Source organism: Homo sapiens, chromosome 5, assembly GCF_000001405.40.
Source record: "Homo sapiens chromosome 5, GRCh38.p14 Primary Assembly".
Lineage (NCBI taxonomy): Eukaryota > Metazoa > Chordata > Mammalia > Primates > Hominidae > Homo > Homo sapiens.
Genome location: NC_000005.10, coordinates 162,645,240 through 162,662,045, shown reverse-complemented (window position 1 = coordinate 162,662,045; position 16,806 = coordinate 162,645,240). Strand labels below are relative to the sequence as shown.

Genomic DNA, 16,806 nt, shown 5'->3' with positions numbered 1-16,806 from the left:
GTGCCTGGGTAAGTGTTAAAATAAAAATATTATTTCTAAATGCATCAGGCTTTAGTTTTGTTATACATTGATGGCACACTGTAAGGGACATGAGCAAAAATAATGGGGGCTTTTCGTTTTTTGCAATGGATTATTTTTTGCTATTCATTTGGCAGAAGCCTGTAATAAACTTGTTTGTTTCTGTTGGCTTCGTTTCAGTTCAAAACTGGAAACAGTGGATGCTTCAGAGTCATTTAATGCTATTTTACTTAGAATCATTATAGTCTTGTCATTTTGCAAAATTATCTGTGAGAACTGATTCTCAGCAAGCATTCTTGGATATGAGAAATAATTTCTACTATTTAGCCAAACAACATCAATTTCAGTTTGTACTCAGTGTAAATACAAATACCTAAAGACAGTGTTGTTAAAGAATAAGTGACAACCTACAGAATGAGAGAAAATATTTGTAAACTATACATTTGATAAGCGGTTAATATCCAAAATAGATAAGGAACTCAAACAACTCAACAGCAAAAAATAAAATAACATAATTTAAAAATAAGCAAAAGATCTAAGTAGAAATTTATCAAAAAAAGACATAGAAATTGTCAACAAGTATATAAAAAATTACTCAACATCACTAAACATCAAGGAAATGTAAATCAAAACCACAATGAGATATCATCTCTCCCTAGTTAGAAAGTCTATTATCAAATACAAAGATAACAGATATTGGCATGGATGTGGAGAAAGGGGAACCCTTACACACTATCAGAGAAAACATAAATTAGTACAACTACTATGAAAAATAGTATGGAATTTTTCAAAAGTTAAAAATAGAACTAACATATTATTCAGCAATTTCTCTACTGAGTATATATTTAAAAAAGGAATTCAGCATTTTCAAGACATACCTGTACTATCATGTTTATTAAAGCACTATTCACAATAGCCAAGACATAGAATCAACCTAATTTCCATTGATAGGTGAATGAATAAGGAAACTGTGTTGTGTATATACAGAATGAAATACTATTGAGTCATAAAAGGAAAAGAATCCTGTAATTTGCAACCACATGAATGAACCTGGAAGACATTATGTCAAATAAAATAAGCCAGGCACAGAAAGACAAGTACCTCATGATCTCACTCGTAACTGGAATCTTAAAAATTTTATATTATAGAAGGTAGAGAGTATAATGGTAGTTACCAGTGGCAGAGGTGGTTGGCAGAGATAGAGAGATGGGAAGATGTTGTTGGTCAAAGGATACCTAATAAGATAGAGGAAAATTTCAAGAGATCTATTGTGCAGCAAGTTGACTATAGTTAAGGGTGATATATTCTATTCATAAAAAAGAAAGTGGATATTTGTTATGTGTTCTTACCACAGAAATAATAACTATTTTTTATAAAAGGATAACTAGAGGTAATGCATTTCTTAATTAGCTAGATTTAACCATTTCACAATTTGTGTATACGTGTTTGTGTGTGTGTGTGTGTATATATATATAAAATGCTGTGTATATAATGAATGTATATATTGTATATTTTAAATCATGTGCATGACAAAAACATACAATGACATCTGTCATCTTAGCAAAGTAAAAACAAAGATGGTATTGTTGATGAGACTATACTGACATGCTATATTTTTAGGTAATGTCTATGGAATGTTTTTTTCATAATTAATGGCATTAAATTAAAAACTCTCTCTTTACCAACATTATGATGTATTTATAATCTGAGATGTATTATATTAATAACTATCAACCTGAGATAAATGCGGACACTTTCCTTCTAAAAACGACTGTGTTATTTTATCTTTTTCTCTTCTTTAGTTCTGTATCAAGGAAACTCACAAGCTTCTGAGAATAGAGACTTGACTTTCCAGAGTGGAACTTTGTAGAAAGAAGCTTGATATGGTAATTGAAGGGCAATGCTCCTAAAGATATGAACTATTTGGTGAGTTCAGGATATGCCATCTCAAAGCCGAGATGACAGAATGGGATAAGGACATACAGCTTCCAAGTTGTTCTTTAAGCTCAACTCCAAAAGGCTAAAATCTCATTTTATTATATTTGATAATATATTTAAAAATAGCAACAGCTTATTGATTATTACTGTTTTCATTACTTGATTTATGATTATTCCACCAATCTATATTGTTTAATTTAAATGCTTTTTAAATTTGCATATATAATCAGTTCTTTTTCTAGAAATTATATTTTCTTCTGTTGAGCTGTAGGTCAATTCTCTTACTCAGTGCAAGATAGTTTAAATTACAGTAGATTTGTAAGGTATTTACTTTTCAGTAATCATAGGCCATACAATAATTTATCTATTTCTTCCCTTCTCTTTCACCAAATATTTTCCACACACTTGCCCTCTTTTGAGACTGATTTCTGAGGTGTTTCAAAGCTCTTGTGTTGTTCATAATATGCCATTATGATATGCATTCCCACCTAGACATCATTGCTCCACATTGAGGTGCTCTGAGGAAACCATGCCTTCCTGCCCATCTGCACATTTTCCCTTTATTTTTTTTACTTGAACCAACAGCCGTACATCCCATTCCAACCACTTCCTCTCCCATAGTTTTCAGCTCAAGATGAGAAATTTTTGTTTCAACTAGTGTAAGTCATTCGTTGAGAGGGATAATAACTCGGTAGGGATCAAGGGATGACTAGAAAAGGGTTAAGACAGAGTTATATTCTCCAAGTAAAAGGAAAACAAACATGAGGAAATAAAGCACACTAAGTTTCATGTCTGGATAAACGTCGACTTCATCATTATGGTCTTCATGCCCAACAACTCTCTTAAGGAATAACGTCAGAGCAATTCTGAAATCTCCTCATGCATGCATAAATTATAGCTTTTGTTCTCATTTACATGCAATAACCAGTAGATGCTCCTGGAAACTAGCTAGCGAAATATACATTTCTCTCAGCCATTGTAAACATCTATTCACGTTTCTTCCAAAAAAGCATTTTCTTATGAAGCTACATTAGGAGTTGGCATACTCTGTAGCATTTTTTATAAAAAGAAGCTGTTTGAAAATTTGTTGGTAGTCTGCCCCACGTTTGTGGAAAGAATTACCATATTTGTACCTACAGGCAATTTTTCTGTCTGACATATTTTTTTCAAAACAATGATTTCCAAAAATGTAGTTGTGCGTTAGAATACTCGAGGGAGTTTTACAAAAGCTAGACAAACAGCTCTCTAGATCTGGTGAATCAGGATCCCTAGGCTGGGATCAGTAATCTGCATTTTTATCAAGACGTGTGTATTAGTCTGTTCTCACACTGATATTAAGAATACTACTGGAGGCTGGGTACTTATAAAGGAAAGAGGTTTCTTTGACTCACAGTTCTGGAGGCTTAACAGGGAGCGTGGCTAGGAGCCCTCAGGAAACTTACAATCATGCCAGAAGGCAAACGGGAAGCAGGCACCTTCTTCACAAGGTGGCAGGAGGGAGGTGTGAGAGAATGAGGAAGTGCCACACTTTAAAACCTTCATCTCTCATGAGAACTTACTTACTATCACAAGAAAAGCATGGGGGAAACCGCCCCCATGATCCAGTCACCTCCCACCTGCTCCCTCCACTGACATGTGGGGATTATAATTCAGGATGAGATTTGGGTGGGGACACAGAGCCAAACCATATCACTCGGTGACAGTTTACTTACCTGGATCTCGAAAACACTGCTCTGAATCTTTGCATGCCCATTCTGAACATCTTAGATGAATAGATCTTAAACCTGGTCAGTTATCTAAATCATCTTGGGAGATTTTAAAATACTTAATATTTGCAGGTCCCATCCACAAAGTCATGACTATGTAGATCTGAATATGGTCAACCAGAATCTGGAATTTTCGAAGGCATCTCAGATGATGCTTCTCAGAGCTATATTTAGGAATGCCACCTTAAAACATATCAGTAGTAATCTTATCTTTAGCATTCTGCAGGTTTGGAAAAATCCGAATTTGGAAATCATCTGATTTTTTTAATACACAGAGTAAATGAAAGTATTTGACTGCTTAAATGTGAAAATGTAAAAGAGCTCTTATTTACATTTCTTAAAAATAAAGTTATTACACTGTTGTGTTTTTTAAAAAATATGCTAGATTTCCATTGAGATGTTTTGTACATTTTACCTATTACAGATATGTGTATATATACAAATGGAATATCAGAAGTGATTCTCCTTCCTAGTTATCATATTATCCTGTTCAATCCCTGAAAATTTATTAGAATGTTTTATTTATTTGTTTATTATGTCATTCCTTCTTAGAATGTTAACTCCATGGGGATAAGAACTCTATGCTATGTTCAATAGTCCGCTCCTAGGGCCTAGAGCATTGGCTGGTACATGGTTGGTGCTCAGTACACAATTATTGAAAGAACAGATGTATATTATACATGTATATAATATTCATGTGTGGATAGTATATCTAAAACATATATCTATATATGAAATTGACATATTAACCAATTATTCATACACATGCACACATACACAATGCCGGTATAATTTCTTAGCTGCCAACAAAAGCACATTTTATTAATCATGAAATTTCTCTTATACACAAAGGCATTTGAGCCTCTTTCAAATCCCAAATAAAAAGGGAGTTTAGTAGTCAAAAACATAACTTCATTTCTTTCATTTGAGAGGGACCTGGAGGAAGTGATTTGGATTTTCTATTAGCATTTTTTAAGAGGAGTCACACTGCTCCTCAGGTGGTGTGAATCACTCACACTTAATGTACTATGTGAAGAGCAGCTGAATCATCCTGGAATCACAGTGCCTCACGAGGAATGTGTCAACTATTTAGTCTTCATTCACATGATGGAAAGTGTAGTTAACGACACTGTTATATTGTCACACTGCCGAACTTTAGAATCAAGTCACTAAAAATATTTTCTCACTTTGTAAGATAGTGAGGATTCTAAAAGCTTACCTTTAAAAAAAAAATCTTTAAAAGATGAGGTCTTTATGACTGCATCTTTTGTCTCTGGGTAGTAACTTTTCCAATTGAAGAATGTATCTCAGAGGTATTTCCTTAGGGACTTCTTGGTTCCTCAGCCAGGTTATAACACTGCGTGTGCCTCTGCATAAGGAGACTGGCGAAAGTAGGGCATATTAATTATTTTCTTCACTTATACATTCATTCATTACAGAATCTCTACTCCAGTACCTTTTGTATTTTAGGTACTGTGTCAGGTACCCTCTAGGAAGTGAGGGAGGGTGATAATGATGGATGCAGTACAATGTGGTGGGTGCTAGGACAGTGGTATATACAGAGGCCTCTGAGACAAAGATGAAGGGAGGACATCTACAGGCAGTGGTATCAGGGATGGCTACCTGGAGCTGCAGGTACTTGTGCTGAGTCTTGAGGATGAATAACATTTACTCATTCCACACATATTTATTGAGTGCCTTCTTCGGAACTAGGCTTAATTTTGGACATACTGTGGAGAAACAAAACAGACATGGACACTGCCCTCATGGAACTTGCAGCCTGGGAGGGAGCGCAGACAAAAATCAAATAGCCTCCAAGTAAAAATATGTGATAAGTGAGGAAAAAATGCAAAAAGCTGTAAGAGCATTGCAGCTGGATTTTTATTAATTACTCAGGGTAAACATTTCTTTGAAGAAATGGCATTTGAGCTGACATCTTGTTAAGGAGAAGTTAGCTAAGCAAGGACAGAGAGAAGAGAGCATCCCAGATCATAAGAAGAGAGTTCCCTTTATTTTATTCAAAGAACTTTGGTCTAAAAAATGCAAAAATAAAGAAAATGGGGTTTTACATCATTAAGTTTACTGAACATTATGTTAACTTAAAATTTTAGAACTTAGCCAAAAGTACAGATTTGAAAAGTAATACAAAAATAACCTGGAAAATGCCTTTATTCTTTTTAAAATTTTTCCTCTGTTTTGTTTTTAATTTTTAACTTTTATGGGTAGATAGTAGATGTATATATTTATAGGGTACATGAGATATTTTGATAGAGACATGCAATGTGTAATAATCACATCAAGGTAAATGGAGTATCTATCATCTCAAGCATTTATAATTTCTTTGTGTTACAAACATTCCAATAATAGTTTTTTAGTTATTTTAAAATGGATAATAGATTACTGTTGACTGTAATTATTCAGTTGTGCCATCAAATACTAGATCTTATTCATTCTAAGTATATTTTTGTATGCTCTGTGGTTTTATTTATTTTTCAATTCTCAAAGCTGAACAAGGGGTATTTTAGAAATAGTCATCAGAATGTTGTTTGAATTTTTTCAATTATGTAGTCACTTTTGATTTTATGACTTTATTGCTATTGGGTTTTTATTTTTTTAATTTTCACACATCAGCTTATATTTGGCCCAATGCAGCCACAGAACACTGTAAAATACATACAGACTATACCCACTGTAGAATTACGACCTTTCTAACTTTTCACTCTTCAATAAACTTTTCTATTTATTGCCCTCTAGCCATAATAATTCACTCTTTTCAGATTGTATTCTCCTCTGTCTGTCTACATTTTCAGTATATGTCTGTTCTTAGATTACAGTCATGCAATACAGCAGATTCATTAGCTCTCTACTTCTGGTTTTCAGTGACACAAATGCTTTCTCATGTGTAAAGGGACAAAGGCTTTCATTTGGTTTTTAATCTAAGAGCACAATAGATAAATCACAGTTTCTGAATCTATACTCCAAGTCTTCTTTGAGGAACTGACATTTAAACTGAACATCAATGGAATTGGCCATGTAGTAACAAGAGACAGAAGAGCACTCCAAGTGAATAAGGGAGAGACAGACATTTCAGGCAGTGGGAACTGGCATGTACAAAGACTCTGAGGATGGAAACATTATGACTCATTTAAGGAACCATTGTTAGTTGTGAAGGCTATATTGAAGTGTAAATACAGAGAAAAAAGAAACAGAGGTGTTTCAGTATTTGTTTTATTCAGAGGAAGGAAACGAGAGAAAGGAGAATGAGAAATGATTGATGCTTATAGTGAACATTTGTGGCTTTGTCTCTCCAGCATCAGTTCTTGCTTCATCTAGCAACAGCATCCCAGTTTCCATGGGTTCCTCTCTTCCCCTAAGTCCAGCTGGTTTGATAAGAGTTGAATGAACCCCTGGTTCTAAGCCTGCCTACCAATCTGATAATTGTATCTCCTTGGCCAAAACTATTGGTTCAGAGTTTGACTTATTACCCAATTAGGGACAATGACCTCAATTCCAGAAACTTTTCCAACACTGTTGGGAGAATGGAATCTCTCTTTTAAGTAAAATTGGAGCTGGAAGCTTGTAAGGGTAGCATAGCAAAGGCCTAATAGAGAGTAAATCCAATAGGGAGGAATACAGAGATTAAAGATGGTGAGAAAACTGCCAGCATGTAAGATATTGTTTGGCCCTCTAGGCACAATCACATCCTAAGCTATAGGCATTTCAGTGACATGAGCCAAAACATTTGCTTTTAACATAAAGTATGCTTGGGTTGAGTTTCTGTTCTTGCAGTTAAAGTGTCCTACATAATACAAAGTTTAATAGGACAAAGTTTTGTTACCCTAAAACATCAACATTTCTGGAGCTTCTCAGATTAATTTCAGTAGCACACCACAGGTTTCCGTCATCTTAATTTACCAAATTGACAGCTTGTCATTATGTTGAACTTACCTTTTTAAAACAATTATAACAGGAAAATATTCCATTTATCAGCTTTTTAGTTTTTTTTTTTTTCCTAAAGCTAGTAACACATTAAGAGTAAATGCGTATTCTATGTTAAAGTTTTACTTCTATCCCAAAATCATGCATAGTAAACTGTTTCTTGCTTTTTCTAGAAATGTCTTGCTGGAAAAAAAAAATTTGATCTTAAGCCCTTGGCTGGCCAATGATAGATGTTTTATTTTTAGGATTATCTTTTTTGTTTATTCTACAACAAATGTTATGCCCTTCAACTGATATTCGAGAATGTTAAGCAATTTTTGCATCTTTCTAAAGCCAGTAAAGATTTAGCTTCCTCAAATGATTGCCTAGAGCCTACAGAATCTCCCTTAAGTCTTACAGGACGTTTGATCTGCCAATTCAAATAGTTTTTTCAGTAATTTTTTTTTTATTTTATTGATCTGATAAACTGACTGAAACAGAAACTGAGGTACTAATGTCATAAAAAATGAGAAGGTTTAGTGAAGCAAAGCCTACACTTAGAGTTAATGACATATTTATAGAGATAAAAAGAGCTGCTGTATTACATTGAAGATTTAAATTTTAAAAATTCCAATGTTAAAAAACAAACATTTTAATATATTCACAATCTTAATCCAAATACACAAATAATATTTCCCCCAATTCCACATACAGTTGGAGATATGTTAAGGAGCACCCTCAACCCCAATTATATGTGGATATTTTAAAGCCACAATAGATCTACTAAGTTTGAGGTAATGAGAGCTGATTTGAGTAGAAGGCATGCAAAAATGGCATGGTGAAAAGGAACACTCATCCACAAAAACCACCCTGTTGAGAAGATACAGGCTTCTGTTTCTTAAAGAGACATTTGGGCAAATGGTCAAGTAAACAGACTAGAACCAGGCTTTGAAAATGATGAGAAAATTGTGCCTGTTGATGGGGAAAAATGTGAGAGAGGTAGAGAATAAGCATAGAGTATTTATTAAGAGACTTGGCTTAGCTGACAGTCAAATGCAAATTAAAATTTGAACCCACAACTTACTAACAGAGTGGTCTTGGTCAAGTGAATTCACTTTTCTAATTGCATTTTAATTTTTAATTTTTTTTTTTTTTTGAGGCGGAGTCTTGCTCTGTTGTCCAGGCCGGAGTGCAGTGGCAGGATTTCGGCTCACTGCAAGCTCCGCCTCCCAGATTCAAGCCATTCTCCTGCCTCACCCTCCCGAGTAGCTGGGGTTACAGGCACCTGCCACCATGCCCAGCAAATTTTTTGTATTTTTAGTAGAGACGGGGTTTCACTGTGTTAGCCAGGATGTTCTCCATCTCCTGACCTCGTGATCTGTCCGCCTCAGCCTCTCAAAGTGCTGGGATTACAGGCGTGAGCCACCACGCCCGGCTGGCACCCAGCAATTTTTAATTTTTATGGATTCATAATTGTACATATTTAGGGGATGTATGCAATATTTTAATACAAGCACATAGTGTTTAATGATCAAATCAGAATAATAAGGAAGTCCATCACCTTAAGCATTTATTATTTACTCATTAGGAACATTCCAATTACATTTAGTTATATTAAAATATATAACATTATTGTTAACTATAGTTGCCTTATTGTGCTACTGAACATTATATCTTATTTCTTTTATCTAACTGTATTTTTGTACCCATTAACCAGCCCATATTTAATCCCCCTGACCCACCATCCTTCCCAGCCTCTGGGAACCATTATTCTACTCTCTACCTCCATGAGATTAACATTTTAGCTCCCACATATGAATGAGACATGCAGTATTTGTCATTCTGTGCCTAGCTTATTTCATGAAATACAACTTCCAGTTCCATCCATGTTGTTATATATGGTGGGATTTTATTTTTTAATTGCTGAATAATATGCCATTGTCTATATATACACCACGTTTTCTTTATTCATTCATCTGTTGATGGACACTTCCATATCCTGGCTATTGTGAATAGTGCTGCAATAAACGTGGAAGTGCAGATATTTCTTCAATATAGTGAATTCCTTTTTTCTGAGGGGGGGTGGGTACACAGACAATAGTGGAATTGCTGGATCATATGTTAGTTCTATTGTTAGTTTTTTGAGGGACCTCCAAACTGTTCTTCATAGTGGATGTAGTAATTTATATTCCCACCAAAGTGTACAAAGTTTCTTCTTTCTGTGTCTCCTTACCAGCATTTGTTATTGCCTTTTTTGTGAAAGCCATTTTAACTGATGTCTCACTGCAATTTTGATTTGAATTTCTCTGATGATTAGCCATGTTGAGCATGTTTTCGTATACATGTTGGCCATTTGTATGTCTTCTTTTGAAAAATGTCTATTCAGATCTTTTGCCCATTTTTAAATCAGATATATTTTGCTATTGAGTTGATCGAACTTCTTATATGTTCTGGTTATTAATCACTTGTCAGAGGGTCAGTTTGCAAATATTTTTTCTCATTCTGTGGGTTATCTTTTCATTTTGTTATTGTTTTCTTTGCTGTGCGGAAGCTTTTTAGCTTGATGTGATCTCATTTGTCCATTTTTATTTTGTTGCCTGTGCTTTTGGGGTCTTAAGAAATCTTTGCTCAAATCAATGTCTTAGAGCATTTCGTTAATATTTTCTTCCAGTAGTTTGATAGTTTCAAATATTAAATTTAAATATTCGATCCATTTTTATTTGACTTTTTCTATATGTTGAGGCATGGGGTTTAATTTCATTCTTCTGCCTGTGGATAACCAGTTTCCTCAGCACCATTTATTGAAGAGACTGTCCTTTCACCAAAGTATGCTCTTGACAGCTTTGTCAAAAATGAGTTGACTATAAATGTGCAGTTTTATTTCTGGGTTCTCTATTCGGTTCCATTGGTCTATGTGTCTGCTTTTATACCAATACCATACTGTTTTGGTTACTATAGCTTTGCAATATAATTTGAAGTTAGACAAAGTGATGCTTTCAGCTCTGTTCTTTTTGCTTAGGATTGCTTTGGCTATTTGGGGTCTTTTGTGGTTCCATATAAATTTTGAGGTTTTTCTTTCTATTTCTGTGAAAAATTAATAGACTTCACTTTTAACTTGAATAAGTAACTCTTGGGGAATCTCAGTTATCTCATCATGGCAAGTGGCTTGATATGGATGTCAGTTTCTTTACATATATAAAAAATAGATGATATCAACATTATTGAACTGTTGAGAAATTTAATGAGACCATTTATATAAAGCTGTTGGTAGAGTGTCTGATATTTAATAAGAACTCAGCAAATGTTAAATATTATAATAATTATGATTATGATGGTGGCAGCAAATTATTATTTGGGATTCTGGAAGTTAAGAGGATCTGAGAAGACCATATTATTCAGCAAAACAAAACAAAAACAGCAACAACAAAAAACTAGCACTAGCTTGAGGACAGACACTTAGTCTTAGAAGGACATTATGTTTCTCAAATAATATTCTGCTGTCTGCAAAGTAGGAATCACACAAAGATAGTAGGTCAATAAGGGTGGATTGTGAGAGGGATAGAGAGAGATATTGAAAGTGTCTAGCCTATTCTGCCCCATGCCCTCAGCACTCCGCAGATTTCAGGGCTTGTATAAAGCTCAATTTTATTCCGATACACAAGGGCTAATGGAGTTGGGATTACTTTGACACTTTTCATCTGGTTCAACATTATCAAATGAGGACATCCAAGAGCTTCAAATCAGACCATTAGTAGATCCAGCTGTGTGAATTAGAAAGGCCAAAGGCAGGGATATGAAACTACACAATCCATGCCAAGCTCTTGGCACAATGCCCCACAAATACTACTTGTAATTGTGGTGATTTCCTCCTTGACACTTTCTACTCTTGACTTACCTGATAACTAGGGTTGCCAGATTTAGCAAATAAATAATACAAGGTGCTCAGTTACATTTGCTTACCAGAGAAGCTATGACTAATTTTCAATATAGGTATTTCCCAAATGTTGCATATATTTAATAACCTCAGTGATAACCCACTTTCCTGGATTTCCTTTTTTCCCTTGCTACACATTCTGAGTCTTCTCCGGTGGTTCCTCCTCCTCATGAACTACACTGACCTCATATCCCATGTGTCAAACTTCTTCCTACCCTGTAAACTTAGCATATGTTATTGTCTTTGTCTGGAAAAAAAAACATTCTACCACTGTTAGCCTGGCCGCATTAGGCTCATCCTTTAAGTCTGGACATACTCATATTATCCTCACATTAAGTTAAATTCTTTATCATATAGTTTCACAGCACAATTTGCAGCACATATTACATTTACATTTGTTGAGTGCTGATTGCTAATTTTCAGCTAAACTCCATGGGGCAAGAACTGTGTTTGACTTAATATCTACTGAGTCTCCTGCACTTGGGACAGTAAACCTAATTAATAAACATGTAGAATGCAGCAGGAATAACTTTTGTTACTATGATTACTAACAAGCACTAGCATTTTGCCCTGCATTTTTCCAATATATTTCAAAGACACTGAAAAGTACACTTCTATTACATACTAATGAGATGTTAGTCAACAACAAGTTTTCATTGAGTATTGGTCATTCCTGTTTTCTAATATAATAATACAAATTTACTGAGCACCTGTAATGTCCCAGGTGCTGTGGGAAGTGCTTACAATACTCAGTTGTATCCACAGTCAATCATAATAAGATCAATTGTAATTCACAGAACATTAATTCACAGAATAATAATTCACAGAACATTAATTAATAATCTAGAATAATTAATAATCAGCTATTAACTTAATATTTGTCAGGATACTGATATTTGAAAAAAATTACTTATAAACCAAGGACAATACTCAATATGGGCAGGACAACTCAAGAAATCAAGCACTAAAGAGAAAGTTTTTGGTGAGTAAAGGGAGTTAGTGGCAGCATAAAGAAATAATGTCACAAGCTGCAAGAATTTGATTCTTTCTTTTCCAATATTTAGAGGTCATTTCTGTCTAGATGATGAATATTACACTTATTAGACTCAAATAACATAGTCTCTTATTGACTGTCAATTTCTACATAATATCTTATCATCTTTGTTTTACTAAGCCATTAAAAAATGACTGTCATAACTCATCCCACCAGAAATATTATAATTTTCTAAATATTGTCATTTCTTCAATTATAAATATTTTTAAATGATGTTCTATGTTGAAAACCCACAGAAGTCTTATCAATAACATAGTTACAAATTATTTCTTTGTTGTGAATAGCTTCCATATGATGAGTAATTTCACTCTTGTTAGGTATATTTTTATTCAGTTTCTGCAAATGATATTATCTACATTTGTTTTAAATGCTTGGTATCTACCCTTTCTGAGGACTGCAACTTCCTGTTCCCATATTACAAGGTGTTTTAAATTATTCAGAGACAAGAGAAAATGTTAAACAAAAATATTGTCAAGATTTGGCTATAGTTACTAGACTATATTAATACAAGTTTCTACAATAAAATCAAAGTTGGATACAACCACATTTTTATATCATTTATCAAATTTTAATACATGTTTAATAGAAGTTTAACGTGCTTGCAGACATACTTTGCTTTATTGCGCTTTTTTCTTGTGCTTCAAATATATTGTGCTTTATAGAAATTGATGGTTTGTGGCAACCCTGTGTCAAACAAGTCTTTTGGAGTCATTTGTCCAATAGTGTCTGCTCACTTGGTGCCTCTGTGTCACATTTTGATAATTCTCACAATTTATTTATTTATTTATTTGTTTATTTTGAGACAGAGTCTTGCTCTGTCACCAGGCTAGAGTGCAGTGGCGCAATCTCGGCTCACTGCAACCTCCGCCTCCCGGGTTCAAGTGATTCTCCTGCCTCAGCCTCCCGAGTATCTGGGATTACATGCTCACGCCACCATGTCCAGTTAATTTTTGTATTTTTAGTAGATACGGGGTTTCATCATGTTGGCCAGGATGGTCTCAATCTCTTGACTTTGTGATCTGTCTGCCTCGGCCTCCAAAGCACTGGGATTACAGGCGTGAGCCAATTCTCGCAATATTTTAAACTTTTTCAGTTTTATAATACAAATTATGGTGTTCTGTGATCAGGGATTTTGATATGACTATTGAAATTATTTTGAGGGTACCACAAACCACATGAGTATAAGAAGATGGACTTAATCAATAAATGCGTGTGTTCTGACTGATTCACCAACTGGTTGTTTTCTCATCGCTCTCTCTCTCTTCAAGCCTTACTATTCTCTGAGACACAACAATATTGAAATTAGTCCTGTTAATAACCCTACAGTGGGCTCTAAATGTTCAAGTGAAAGAAGGAGTTGCAAGTCTCTCACTTCAAATAAAAATCTAGAAATTATTTAGTTTAGCGAGGAAGGTACATCAGAAGCTGAAATAGACCAAAAAGCTAGGCCTCTTGGGCCAAATAGTTAACCAAGTTGTGCATGCAAGGAAAAGTTCTTGACAGAAATTAAAAGTGCTACTCCAGTGAACACACAAATGATAAGAAAGTGAAATAGCCTCAATCCTGATATTCAGAAGGTTTTAGTGGTCTGGATGGAAGATCAAACTGGCCACAGCAGTTCCTCAAGTCAAAACCTAATCCAGAGCAAGGCCCTATCTCTCTTCAATTCTGTGAAGGCTAAGAGAGACAAGGAAGCTGCACAATTAAAGCTGGAAGCTAACAGAGGTTGGTTCATGAAGTTTAAGGAAAGAAGACATCTCCACCCCGTAAAAATACCATGGTCAGAAACAAGTGCTAATGTAGAAACCTCAGCAAGTTATCCAGAAGATCTAGCTGAGATACCTGAAGGTGACTATATGTCTGGAGTTGGTTCCTTCCAGTGGATTTGTGGTCTTGCTGACTTCAAGAATGAAGCCGCAGAACTTCACAGTGTAACAGCTCTTAAAGATGGCACAGACTCAAAGAGTGGGCAGTAGCAAGATTTATTGTGAAGAGTGAAAGAACAAAGCTTCCACAGTGTGGAAGGGAACCCGAGTGCATTGCCACTGCTGGCTGGGGTGGCCAGCTTTTATTCCCTTATTTGTCCCCATCCATGTCGTGCTGGTTGGTCCATTTTACAGAGTGCTGATTGGTCCATTTTACAAACCTCTAGCTAGCCACAGAGTGGTGACTGGTGCATTTTGCAATCCTAGCTAGAGTGCTGATTGGTGCATTTTACAATCCTCCTGTAAGACAGAAAAGTTCTCCAAGTCCCCACCTAACCCAGAAGTTCAGCTGGCTTCACCTCTCAACTATACAAAACAACAGATTTTCAATGTGGATGAAAGAGTCTTATATTGAAAAAAAGATGTCATTTAGGACTTTAATAGCTAGAGAGGAGAAGTCAATGTCTGGCTTCAAAGCTTCAAAACACAGGCTGACTTTCTTGTTAGCAGCTAATGCAGCTTGTTACTTTAAGTGGAAACCAGTGCCTATTTACCATTCCAAAAGTTATAGGGCCCTTAAGCTTTATGCTAAATCTACTCTGCTTCTGCTCTATACATGGAATGACAAAGCCTGGATGACAGCCCTTTTATGTTTACAGCATGGTTTAGTGAACATTATAAGCCTACTGTTAAGAACTGCTGTTCAGAAAAAAAGATTTATTTCAAAACATTACTACTCTTTGGCAAGGCATCTGGTCACTCGGTAGCTCTGAGGGAAATGTGCATGAAGATTAATATTGTTTTCATGCCTCCCAGCACAACATCCATTCTGCAGCCTATAGACCAAGGAGTAATTTAGACTTCGAAGTCTTATTATTTAAGAAATCTTTTTCATAAGGCTAGAGCTACCATAGACAGTGATTCCTCTTATGAATTTAGGTAAAGTAAATTGAAACGCTTCTGGAAAGAATCCACTATTCTGCATGCCATTAAGAAAATTCATGATTCATGTGAGGGTGTGAAAATATCAACATTAACAAGAGTTTGGCAGAAGTAAATTCTAACCTTCCTGGATGACTATGAGGGGTTCAAAATTTCAGTGGAGGAAGTCACTGCAGATGTGGCAAAAATAGCAAGAAGACTAGAATTAGAAGTGGAGCTTGAAGATGTGACTGAATTGCTGCAATCTCATGATAAAACTTTAATAGATGAGCAGTTGCTTCTTATGAATGAACGAAAAAAGAAAGTTTTTTTTTTTTTTTTTTTTTTGAGATAGAATATACTCCTGGTGAAGATGCTGTGAACATTGTTCAAATGATAACAAAAGATTTGGAATACTACATAGGCTTAGTCGATAAAACAGCAGCAGGGTTTGAGAGAAGTAAATTCAATTTTGAAAGATGTTCAAGTGTGGGTAAAATGCTACCAAACAGCATGATACAGAGAAAACTTTCATGGAAAGGAGAGTAAATTAATGTGGCAAACTTCACTGTTGTCTTATTTCAACCCATTTCCACAGCCACCCCAACATTCAGCAACCACCACTTGATTAGTCAGCAGCCATCAACATCAAGGCAAGATGTTCCACCACAAAAATGTGACTCGCTGAAGGCTCAGGTAATCATTAGCATGTGTAGTAATAAAGTATGTTTAATTAAGGTACATTTTTACACATAATGATATTGTACACTTAATAGATTATAGTACAGTCTAATCATAATTTATATGCACTGGGAAACCAAAAAATTTGTGTGACTTGCTTTATGGCAAATTGGTTTTATCATGGTAGTCTGGAGCCAAACCCACAATATATCTGTGGTATGCCTGTATGTAAAAATGTACAGATCTAAAGTGTTCAACTTTTTGAATTATCACAGCCTGATCATACCTTTGTAACCCACCGCATAGATCAAAAGTAGACTATTTCCAGCATACCAAAAGCTAGTCTCTGGCTTCTATATCACTATCTTCATTCTACTCACCAAAGATACAAGGTGTTCTTAGTTTCAACATCTTAATTTAAATAAGTTGGCTTATATAAAATAGTTACCATTATATGTAGAAATGAAATTATACAGAATATGTTTTTGTGTCCAGTTTTATTAGCTTGTGTTGTTTTTTCAATCTCTTGTAGAAAGATGAACAGTGTATTTATCATCTCAGCTTCTTAGCTACAAGTTTTTCATCACATTCTCAGATGATGCTTTGGAATTTATGTATCCACAGTGGAAAAGTGGCACTGGATGTAGGGCT

General features: G+C 35.1%; 1 long non-coding RNA gene across 1 annotated transcript in view; it reads left to right on the top strand.

The window, feature by feature from the left end:
• The first annotated feature begins 1,114 nt into the window (after positions 1-1,114).
• The window catches only part of LOC105377698 (uncharacterized), a 37,591-nt gene continuing 21,899 nt past the window's right edge, over positions 1,115-16,806 (top strand). The window contains exons 1-2 of the long non-coding RNA XR_001742958.1: positions 1,115-1,408; positions 1,821-1,944. This is a non-coding gene — a long non-coding RNA (uncharacterized LOC105377698). The remainder of the gene's footprint in view (positions 1,409-1,820; positions 1,945-16,806) is intronic.